The sequence below is a fragment of the Homo sapiens genome, chromosome 4 (assembly GCF_000001405.40).
Source record: "Homo sapiens chromosome 4, GRCh38.p14 Primary Assembly".
NCBI classification, from domain to species: domain Eukaryota; kingdom Metazoa; phylum Chordata; class Mammalia; order Primates; family Hominidae; genus Homo; species Homo sapiens.
The window spans coordinates 118,046,669-118,058,762 of record NC_000004.12 but is presented as its reverse complement, the minus strand read 5'-3'; the positions used below and the strand labels follow the sequence as shown (position 1 = coordinate 118,058,762).

The 12,094-nt window shown below is 35.5% G+C and overlaps 1 protein-coding gene and 1 long non-coding RNA gene across 12 annotated transcripts in view; one reads left to right on the top strand and one right to left on the bottom strand.

The window, feature by feature from the left end:
- The window catches only part of LOC107986307 (uncharacterized), a 149,690-nt gene extending 145,664 nt beyond the window's left edge, over window positions 1-4,026 (top strand). For both annotated transcript variants that reach the window (XR_007058243.1, XR_007058242.1), the window contains exons 3-4: window positions 1,965-2,101; window positions 3,938-4,026. This is a non-coding gene — a long non-coding RNA (uncharacterized LOC107986307). The remainder of the gene's footprint in view (window positions 1-1,964; window positions 2,102-3,937) is intronic.
- NDST3 (N-deacetylase and N-sulfotransferase 3) overlaps window positions 1-12,094 on the bottom strand; it is a 225,313-nt gene that overhangs the window by 199,872 nt on the left and 13,347 nt on the right. For 9 of the 10 annotated variants that reach the window (NR_146513.2, NR_146514.2, XM_006714416.4 and 6 more), the window contains exon 2: window positions 3,872-5,007. Coding sequence is in view for 7 of the 10 variants with exons in the window: in XM_006714416.4 (XP_006714479.1) it covers window positions 3,872-4,852 (981 nt within the window). In the remaining 3 variants the exon portion in view is untranslated. Of the gene's footprint in view, window positions 1-3,871; window positions 5,008-12,094 lie in introns of those variants that run through there. The other variant, XM_017008844.2, reaches the window with a different exon arrangement.

Sequence of the window (12,094 nt, the reverse complement as noted above, 5' to 3'; positions counted from 1 at the left end):
CCAAAACCCTTAGTCGGGAAGTTTGAGGGTAGGTTGTAGATCACAAGGAACTTGAAATTTTGAACGTCACTAAAACTCATCCAATAGTCCAATGGAACACGTTTGCATGCATGCGTGCGCGCGCGCGCACACACACACACACACACACACACACACACACACACACACTTTTCCTGACTTCAATTTCACTGAAATTTGTCCTGCCTTTTTAAAGGAATATTTGAATTATCTAAACAATTTTCTTCTTTGGTTCTTTACAGGCTATGGCTTGTAGCTTGCATATTCCTAGACAAACAAAGACCTCAACTTAGGTCTGTTTTTTTTTTTTTTTTGTCTTTTTGTGGCACAAAGAATGAAACACTTTGTGCCATGTCACAGTTTCTTCTGTGGCTTTGAGGATCTTTAAAATATACTCATATTATTCAACATCTAGGTGGGTAAAGCTGATATTGCATTGCTATTCAAATCTTCCCATTAAATAAGGAAGCACATTTTCTATTCCACATAAGAAAAAAAATAACATCCATGCAGTGATTAGTTTGCTAGTTAAAATTTATGTCTTGCACTCTCCTTCCAATTTTGTACATAACAGTTTATGTAACTTTTGATTTTCTCACATTCTTTTAAATTTTCCCAATACTTCAAATAGGGAAAATATAATATTTGCTCATAAGTGGTAATAATTAAATAAAATAATTGATTTAAACATTTATACTAATTATATACTCTTAATCACAAAATTTATGATTTTTTTAGACCTCATGATTTTTGATTATTCTTCCTTATCTGATTTAGTTAGGTCACCCTATCTAACTCTTGGACTCTACGTTTTAGCAACAAATACTCTCAGTCCTGGACAAACCAGGACGGTTGGTCTTCCTAGAACCAGTCTACCCTCTAGCTACTGTATAATTTCTCTTTTTTCCTTTATACAAAAATGTCTCCACTGAGTGCTCTACACTCTCTTTCTTCACATCTTGACCCCCTTAGTCAACTCCTGACTCCAACTTACTGCAAATGGGCTTCGGTCTCTATCATTCCATTCACATAGATTATGCAAGAGTCCCCAGTGATCTTTGTCTTTTCCCAAAGGAGACTCTCCAGTCCTTAGCCCAGTGGGCCCTGCTGTTGGGTTTTATACTGCTGATCACACTTTTTCTGAAGCTATAGCATCTCAGCTTCCTGGTCTCTGACTGTTCTTTCAAACTCTTATTCAAGGGATATTTCCCTCTACTTGTCTTCTAAATGATGATTTTCCTCAATATTCTACATTTGATCATCTTCTCTTATCACTCTAAATTTTTTCCCTGGCTGAGCTCACACACTTTCATGTGGTGAATGATTCCCTATAGGATGATGAATTTGAAATCTGTATTTCCTACCCAGACTTTTCCTGTGAGGCAACTACCTGTGAAATGCTCTGCATCCCACATGGACTTTAATAAAACTGAAATTTTTATTATGACCTTTAATGATCTTCACTATGATCCTCTTACTTACTGTTGTTCACATCATCAACAATTATCAACCTATGCCAAAAATCCTAAAGTCATCCTTATATTCTCTTTCATGACAAATTCTAATGTCATGATTATATTCTCTTTCATCTCCATTCAGCCAATTACTAAGTTGTTCAATTTTACTTCCTAAATAGATCTTAATTTGGTCCTTCCTTCTCCATTCTTACTCCAATTTCCTGGTTTCAAGAAATTGCTGTCTTTGTCTGAATTACTGCTACATCTTTCCAAATCATCACATCAATCTAGTCTTGCCTTTGAACTCTGTCCTACATGCTTAAGTACATACTTAAGTACATACTTAAGTTACAGGTACACAGCACACACTGTAGTGTTTCCCACAACATAATTTATATGAAACTGTGTCGATATGTTTGCTATTGTGCTTACCATGTTGCAAGCTATTTACCTATTTATCACCCCCACTTTATCATTGTATCCCTAAAGCCTGCCTCTATGTCTGGAATGGGATATAGCCATATCAAGAACTGAACGGATAGATGCTCAGCACAATGTGCTTTCCTATGACTCTACTCTCCCCTGCCCCTCTTCTCTGGAATGGACTACAGTTCAAGATTCTATCTGTAAGTTCCAAAAAGTGCTTCACATGTAGTACACGCTTAATAACTAGTTACAGAATGAATACATGAATGACTGTTTATACTCTCAGGGCAATTGACTGTAGTAAATTAGTGTTTTGAGACACAATCACAGATGCAATTTAGAAGTAATTAAAAAACCCAGATTATTCAAAACACATTTTTTAAAAAAGCATTTAGTTAGTTTAGAAAATATATTTCTATCTAAATATGAGCAGTTCATAAAGTAGACATGCCAAATTTTTCTTTAATGTGTTCAATAAGCCTCTAATTTTTCATACCCCTGAAAACTGGCTTAACTTCTGGAGCACAAATGGCATTTTGTATTTTGTATAATATTAGGGGAAACAGGGGGCTACATACAAAACTCAGGGATTTATTTACCATATTTTAAAATTCTATAACAATATATATTTGACAGTTTCAAACAATTTCACTTCAGAAATATATTCATATTGAAAACATTTCTCACCAAAATCATTTGAAATGGAAAAAAAATGGAAGAATTATATATTGCTTGTAATCTTCAAACACCTAATAAATGCTTAAACTACCAGCTTGGTTTTAATTTAGCTATATTTTCAAAAGTAAGTACAAAGACTTAATGGAAACTTAAATACAGCTTCTTTATTAATTTCTGTTTAGCTAAAAGGAAGAGACTAAAATAGTGCCAAGAATATGGAAGTTTTTTTTCTTTTCAGTCTTCACACTCTCTTACAGTAACATTTAATGGTCCTTCTGGTATTCTTAGCCCACTTAACTAGTGTGATGAACATTACTATTATTTGCCAGATGCTTAGTGACTAGAGAAAAGAACAAAGTTTTCAAGATGTATTTTTTGCTCTCTGATTTGATTCTAGATATTCTACCAAAAGGTCAAAACTGTAGAATAAAAACTATGTATCAAAAGTCTCACTTTTATGAGAAATCAATACATAGTATAACAGAGATAGAATCCTATGACATTTCGAATTGGAAACTAAGACAAATGTAGATAACTTTAATTTTAAAATTTTTTAATAGTAAACAATCAGCTGTTTATGTAACACAATCAACTCATAATAATGACAAACTATTTCAAATAATTGTTTTCTGTTTAAGGGCAGCAGTTTTACACAATAAGAAATGTAATACAATTTAAATTTGGCATGATTGGCTTCATATATGTGTCAGAAGTGTTCGCTGAAATCAAGTTAAATCCTCATGTTTAAATGTGAATAAATATGCTTATACAGTCATTGATCTTCATATTTAGTAGTACTGATTTTCAGTTTCAGAAAAATATGATAAGAGAAAATGCACTGCATATTTGACTTCCAAAAGTATCTGAACTTGCTACAATGAGATCTGTAATTCTTGAAATTTGTGGAAATATTTATTATCATTAAGACAAATTCACTTTAATTTCATATTTAAATGAGCTAAGTCTGAGATTAGTAATAGCTTTTTTTTGAGGTAGATAGTTTCTGGAAAGTAATTAAACGAAATGACTTCTACTCTAGTTGTAAATACATGTAGAAAACCATTTCAGGATCCTGCCACACTCAATCTTTTAGTAAAATCTTTATTTTTCTTGATTCAGATAGAAATACATAATCTTCTTAGTTGATTTAGGGTGAGCGATAATCCTAGATTGCCCAGACTTTCCCAGTAAATCCCATGTCCTGGGTAACCCAGTTGTAGTACAAACTGGGATAGTTGTATCCCTGCTGGAAGATGAACTGAACTTTGAAACTTGAGAAAATAGAGCCTTACCTTTACATCATTGGTGTTCATTCTTGTTCCCTCTTTTCCCACAAATATATCATCAATATCCACAAGAATGTACCTGTCCAAGGACAATGTCAGCCTCTTCCCTGATAAGAAGGAGATGGCATCTATGAAGATGAGCTTGTGCAGCCAAAAGTTCAAGTTGTTGCCAAAAAGAACCCTTTGAATTCCATCATGAAGCCCCAGGTCATGTATAATAGTGGCATAAAAAGCACCTTTAGAGATGGAAGGAGAAAGGTTTTCTGGGGTCTTTACTTTGGCAAATATTACTGGTTGATAGGCTGAATGATTAATCTGAAAAACTGTCCAGTCAGTTCCAGGTAAAGAACCTTTTTCAAGCTTGGAAGATTTGGTCACACGAATCAATGGAGAATGAGGATTAATACAACAATCTTTTACTGCAAGATTTCCATATATGGAAAAAGGGAAACCTTTTAACTGAAAGCTCTGTACACTCTTCTCACTAGTTTTGTGGAATCCAATGACACCCACACCATATTCTACACAGTATTTATCTAGAAGGCTTCGATTCCAGGAATCCATATTTATATACTTTAAAATATTCTCATAAATAATGAGAATGTATTTGCCTTTCATTTTGTCTATAAGCACTGGGAGATCTCCCTTTCCAGGGGCAATTTCAATGTGATACTGGAATCTACTTGATTCTAGAATCATAATGATGTCTTGACCAAGAGATGAGTACTGGCTCTCTACAAATACTAGGACTGTGGGGTCTGTCCTTGAGGCATCAAAAAGCTTCATTGCTTTCACTTCCATTAGTTGATATGGTAGGTGTTGGAGGTCGCCACAGTCAACTTCTGAAGCCGTCTCAGAGAGTTCATTTTCCTGTTTGTAGCCACTGTACAGGTAGTAAGCAGAAATGATAATGCTCACCATACAAAAAGTGGCAAGCAGAATGACTGTTCTTTGAAAGTGTCTGTGAAGCTTCATGATAAAACTCATGTTGTAGGTGCTTTCCCCAACTATGCCAACAGAAGCACCATAAAAAGTTAAAAGAAAAGATGGTGTTCCAGCTACTTTTCCAATCTCTGTCAAGAGTTTATGTCACCATTGCAGCTCATTTGTATCACTTGATCAGGACTCACAGAAAATACAGTCTGAAAAATAGAAAAGAATATAAAACAGTCAGTTTGCAGCATTAAAATAAGCAAGTTTTTATCTTGTTGACTAGCATAAGTGGCAGAGTACTTGGCAGATGAACTGGTGTATAGTAAATTCGAAGCCCTCCCTTTTCTTCTCCCAGATCTGTGTGAGGACATGGGACTGGTAGAAAGAGGAAAAGGGGTCCATTGAGCCCTCTATTCCTAGTAAAAAAAAGACTTTGGGCTAACAGAAAATTTCATGATATTCACTGTGCTTTGCATCAAACTCTGTAGATACTATACAACAAAGACCACGGAGAGGTCACCTAAGTCATACACTGCCATTTCTTGCCATCTGGCTATACATTATGTAATACATACTCAAGCTGTTTGTTTTTAATCACAGGTACTGAATGTTTATGCCATAATTAAAACATGTGTTTTTCTTTTCTGCAAAGTCGATGGCACAGTCAATTTTATCATTGTATACACATTTTACATTCATTAGAGAAACAACCTTATGATAATTGCTCTCATTAAAATAACCCTTTCAAAATGCATATATGGTCCCACAATGCAATTCATTATTTTAGAACTGCATATTTTCATAGTTGCATTTTCCAAAAATCAAAACAGTCATGTGGTAAGATGAATATGAGGAATAAAATACTTCCCAGGGTTTCTGCAAATCTGGTGTGAGACCATTGGGAACCATATACTCTTGGAGAAGAGCAAATTTACCTATTGATTCACTTTCTATACCATTCTATTTCCGCTTTTTGAGGAGTTTAGTAATTATGTGAAAAACTACTCCAAAAATGTTTTTAAAAATGTAATGAAAACAACTGAGACTTCATGAAACACTTTGTTGTGCAATAATTTGAAATCCCTTTCAAGTCTTAGTAACCTTTGAAAATTTAGTAACTTTGAAAAATAATAAGAAAGAAACATGAGTGCTTCTTTTTTTATTTGGGTGTTCTACATTTATTAGGATTACACTTCCTCTGGTATCACAGCACACTGATACAGATTTACTGTTAAGAGTATTTTGAGTGCATGAAGGTTAAGCAAACTGTGTATATATCTCTGTCAACTGAACAATATTTTTTCTCAGATAGTTGAACTAATGGGAAACAAACACATATTTCCTGGCTAGTCAAATCCAAAATAATGTACAGCCATGCTTGGATTTACCTGGGCACCTAAGGAATTCTTTTCCTTTTAAAAAAATTCAACCGTTATTTTAGAGGGTACACATGCAGGTTTACTACCTGGGGATACTGTGGGATGCTGACATTTACGGTATGGATCCCGTCACCCAGGCAGTAAGCACAGTACCCAATAGGTAGTTTTTCCACCGTGTATGTCCTCCTTCCTTCTTCCTCCCTCTAATAGTCCACAGTGTCTATTGTTCTTGTGTATATGTCCATGTGTGCTCAGGGTTTAGCTCCCACTTGTAAGTGAGAACATGTGGTATTTTGTTGTCTGTTCCTGAGTTAATTTGTTTAGGATTATGTCCTCCAGTTACATCCATGTTACTACAAAAGACATGACTTCATTCTTTTTTATGGCCACATAGTATTCCATGGTGTATTTGTACCACATTTTCTTTATCCAATTCACTCTTGATTGGCATCTAGTTTGATTGTTTATCTTACTATTTTGAATAGTGCTGGGATAAACATACAAGTGTATGCATCTTTTTAGTAGAATGATTTATTTTCCTTTGGGTATATACCCAGTAATGGAATCTGTGGTCAAGTGATAGCTCTGTTTTAAGTTCTTTCAGAAATCTCCAAACTTCTTTCCATAGCGGCTGAATTTGTTTACATTCCCACCAACAGTGTATAAGCATTCCCTTTTCTATGCAGCCTCACCAGCATCTGTTATCTTTTAACTTCTTACTAATTGCCATTCTGACTGGTGTAGATGATATCTCACTGTGGTGTTGATTTGCATTTCTCTGATGATTAGTGATGATGAACATTTTTTCATGTTTGTTGGCTACTTGTATGTCTTCTTTTAATAAAGAGACTATTTTGGCAGGATATTTAGCATTTTCTAGGTATAGAATCATATCATCAGCAAAGAGAGATAATTTGACTTCTTTTTCTATTTAGATGCCTTATTTCTTTCTCTTGCCTGATTGCTTCTTTGAAGAAACATCTGCTCATGTCCTTTGCCTGTTTTTAAAGGGGGTTGGTTGTTTCTTTCTTATTGATTTAAGTTTCTTGTAGACTCTGGATATTAGACCTTTGTTGGATGCACACTTTGTGAATATTTTCTCCCATTCTGTAGGTTGTCTGTTTACTCTGCTGATAGTTTCTTCTGCTGTTCAGAAGCTCTTTAGTTTAATTAGGTCCCACTAGTCAACTTTTGTTTTCATTGCAATTGCTTTTGGGGACTTAGCCAAAAATTCTTTGCCAAGGCTGATATCATAAACAGTATTTCTTAGATTTACTTCTAAAATTTTTATAGTTTGATGTCCTGCATTTGAATTAACTTGCTTACTTAATTTGCTTAGGATTACAGCCTAGGCAAATTACCTTGAGTTAATTTTTGTATATGGTAAAAGGTAAGGGTCCAGTTTCATTCTTCTGCATATGGCTAGCCATTTATCCCAGCACCATTTACTGAATAGGGAGTGCTTTACCTATTGCTTGCTTTTGTTGGCCTTGCCAAAGATCAGATGATTGTAGGTGTGTGGCTTTATTTCTGAGTTTTCTATTGTGTTCCATTGGTCTATGTGTCTGCTTTTGTACCAGTACCATGCTGTTTGGGTTACTGTAGCTTTGTAGTATAGTTTGAAGTCAGGTAGTCTGATGCTTCTGGCTTTGTTCTTTTTGCTTAGAATTGCTTTGGCTATTCGGGCTCTTTTTTGGTTCATGTGAATTTTAGAACAGTTTTTTTATATTTATTTAAAAATAGCATTTGTAATATGATAGTAGTGTTGAATCTGTAAATTGCTTTAAGCAGTATGGCCATTTTAATGATACTGATTCTTCTAATCCATGAGCATGAAAAGTATTTTCATTTATTTGTATTGTCTTTGATTTATTTCATCAGTGTTTTTTAGTTCTCCTTGTACAGATCTTTTACCTCCTTGGCTAGCTGTATTGTTAGATATTTCATTTTATTTGTGGCTATTGTACATGGGATTGTATTCTTCATTGGACTCTCAGCTTTAACATTATTGATATATGTATAGGAACACTACTGATTTTTGTATATTGATTTTGTATCCTGAAACTTTCCTGAAGTCATTTATCAGTTCTAGGGACCTTTTGGCAGAATCTTTAGCATTTTCTAGGTATAGAATCATATCATCAGCAAAGAGAGATAGTTTGACTTCTTTTTCTATTTGGATGCTTTATTTCTTTCTCTTGTCTGATTGCTCTGGCTAGGACTTCCAGTGCTATAGGAGTGGTGAGGGTGGGCATCCTTATCTCATTCCAGTTCTCAAGAGTAGTGGTTCCAGCTTTTGCCTGTTCAGTATGACATTGGCTGTGAGTTTGTCATAGATGTCTCTTATTATTTTAAGATATGTTCCTTTAATGCCTAGACTGTTAAGGGTTTTTATCATGAAGGTATGTTGAATTTTATTGAAAGCTTTTCTGCATCTATTGAGATGATCATATGGCTTTGCTTTTAATTCTGTTTATGTGGTAAATGACATTTATTGATTTGCATATGTTGAAATAGCCTTGCGTCCTAGAAATAAAGCTGACTTGATTGTGGCATATTAAATTTTTGATGTGCTGCTGGATTTGTTTTCCTAGTATTTGGTTGAGAATTTCTGCATCTATGTTCATCGGAGATATTGGCCTAAGTTTTTTTTCTTCATTGTGTCTCTGCCAGATTTTGGTATCAGGCTGATGCTTGCTTCACAGAATGTGTGAGGAAGAAGCCCCTTCTCCTCAATTTTTTGGAATAATTTCAGTAGGATTGGTACCAGTTCATTTTAGTATGTCTGGTACAATTCGGCTGTGAATCCATCTGCTCCAGTGCTTTTTTTGGTGGGTAGGGTTTTTTTTTTTTATTATTATTACTGATTCAGTTTCAGAGCTTGATATTGGTCTTTTCAGAGTTTCAAACTCTTAATGATTCAGTTTTGGGAGATTGCATTTCCAGGAATTTATCCATTTCCTCTAGATTTTCTAATTCATGTGAGTAGAGATATTCATAGTATTTTTAAGGATATTTCTATTTCTGTGGGATTAGTTGTAATGTTATCTTTGTCATTTTTGATTGTTCTTTTTTGGATATTCTCTTTATTTTTCTTTGTTATTCTAGCTAGTGGTCTATCGGTCGTGTTTATTTTTTTCTAAGAAACAACTCTTGGTTTCATTGGTCTTTTATATGGATTTTGGCATCTCAATTTCATTTAATTCTTCTTTAATATTAGTTATTTATTTTTTTCTGCCAGCTGTGGGGGTATGTTTGTTCCTTTATTTTAGTTCCCTTAGGTACAAAGGTAGATTGTTAATTTGAGATCTTTCTAACTTCTTGATGAAGGCATTTAATGCTATAATCTTTCTTCTTTACACTAACTTAGCTGCATCCCAGAGATTTTGGTAAGTTGTGTCCCTGCCTTCATTAATTTCAAAGAATTTTTTGGTTTCTGCCTTAACTTTGATGTTCACCAAGGAGTTATTCAGGAGCAAGTTATTTAATTTCCATATAATTGTGTAGTTTTGAGAGACCTTCTTGATATTGATTTTTTAAATTGCACTGAGGTTGGTGAATGTTCTTGGTATGATTTCAGTTTGTTAAAATTTATTGAGACTTCCTTCGTGAACAAACATGTGGTCAGTCTTAGAATATGTTTTATGTGCAGATGAAAAATATGTGTATTTTGTGGTTGTTGGGTGGACTAGTTCTGTAGATATCTATTAGATCTAGTTGGTCAGGTGTCAAGTTTAAGTCCGGAGTTTATTAGTTTTCTGCCTTGAGTATCTGTCTAACATTGTGAGTGGGGTGTTGACATCTCCCATTATTATTGTATAGTTGTCTAAGTTTTGTTGTGGGTGAAGAAGAATTTGTTTCATGAATCTAGGTGCTCCAATGTTGGGTGTATATATATTTAGGATAGTTAAGTCTTGTTGTCGGATTGTACTCTTTATTGTTATGTATTGCCCTTCTTTGTCTTCTTAAATTTTTATTGGTTTGAAGTTTGTTTTATCTAATATAAGAATAGCCACTCCTGATCTTTGTATATTTTCCATTTGTATGGTAGATCTTTCTCCATCCTTTTACTTTGCGCCTGTGGGTACCATTACATGTGAAATTGGTCTCATGAAGACAGCAAATGGTTGGGTCTTGTCTTTTTATCTAGCTTGCCACTCTGTGTCTTTTAAGTGGGGCATTTAGCTCATTTACATTCAGGATTAGTATGGATCTGTGAGATTTTGGTCCTGTCATCATGTTGTTAGCTGGTTGTTATGAAGACTTGATTGTCTAGGTGGATTATAGTGCCTGCAGGCTGTGTGCTTAAGTGTGTTTTTGGGGTAGCAGGTGTTGCTTTTCAATTCCATGTTCAGCACTCCCTAAGAACCTCTTCTAAGGCCAGTCTAGTTGAAATGAATTCATTCAGCATTTGCTTATCTGAGAAGGATTTTATATCTGTTTCTCCCAAGAAGCTTAGTTTGGTGCCATATGAAGTTCTTGGTTGGAAATTTTGTTTTTAAAAATGCTAAAAATAGGCTCTCAATCTCTTCTGGTTGTAATGTTTCTGCTGAAAGGTGTGCTGCTAGCTTAATGGGATTCCCTCTGTACATGACTTGACCCTTCTTCTCTCTAGCTGCCTTTAAGATTTTTTCTTTTGCATTGACCTTGGTGAATCTGATGACTGTGTGCCTTAAGGATGGTTATCTCATATAGTATGCAGCCTAGGTTCTCTGTATTTCTTGAATTTGCAACTCAACCTCTCTAGTGTGATTAGGGAAATATACTCAAATATATTTTCCCAGTTGCTTATTCTGTCTCAAGAATGCCAATGAATCATAAATTTGGTGTCTTTACATAACCCATATTTCTCAGAGGTTTTGTTCATTTCTAACAATTATTTTTCTTTAGTTTTGTCTGAGTTGAGTTGGCCCGAAGAGCCAGTCTTCAAGCTCTGAAGTTCTTTTCCCAGTTTGGTCTATTCTGCTGTTAATACTTCTAATTGTATTATGAAATTCTTATACTGAATTTTTCAGCTCTAGTAGTTCAGTTTAGTTCGTTTTTAAAATGGATATTTCATATTTCATCTCTTGGATAGTATAAATAAATTCCTTGAATTGGGTTTCAATTTTCTTCTGAATCTCAACCTTTCTTGCCATCCAGATTCTAAATAATATGTCTGTCATTTCAGTCATTTCAGACTGGTTGAGAACCACTGCTGGGGAGCTAGTGGATTCATCTGGAGATGAGGAGACACTCTGACTTTTTAAATTGCCAGAGGTCTTACCATGATTCTTTCGCATCTAAGAAGTCCAGTGTTTCTTTAACAATGACGTAATTTGAGTACTTCAGTTGGATTTGTTTCTGGATGTTTTCACATGCCCAAGCCTCTCTATAGGGCCTTTATTTGTGGCTGAATTCTTGCCCTTGGTTTCACAGGGGTGTATAGTAGCAAAATATTTTTGGCGTGGTAGTTTGGGCTGGGATCCAGTAGATGATGCTGAAGAGTAATGGGCAGTAGATAGCCTCTTATCTAGCTGCATGGCTCCTCTGTATTTCTCACATTTGCAGCTGTGCTCTGCAGTGGGCAGGGAGAGAGGTGACCTCCTCACCATGTCCACTCTTGGACCTTGGGGGAGTCCCTCTGATCACTGACAGTGCGTCTGCATTTCTTTTGTTAGGTGTCTGTGCTGCAGGGCTCCCTGGTCCGAAGTTGCAGCAGGTAGATGGGAGACAACCTTTCCTGGCAAATCCTGTGGAGGGAGGCATGCCCCCTCCCACTCCAGCCCATGAATAGGCATCTCACCCCTCTCAGTGCTTTGAGAGTGTGAGCTCCTCTCCCACTTGAGTGCCAGCCACAGAACTTGGCTTGGCATTCCTGAGGTGGCTGCTGCAGCCCTCGGGCACTTGGATGGAATTGGGGCTCCATCCTTCAGGT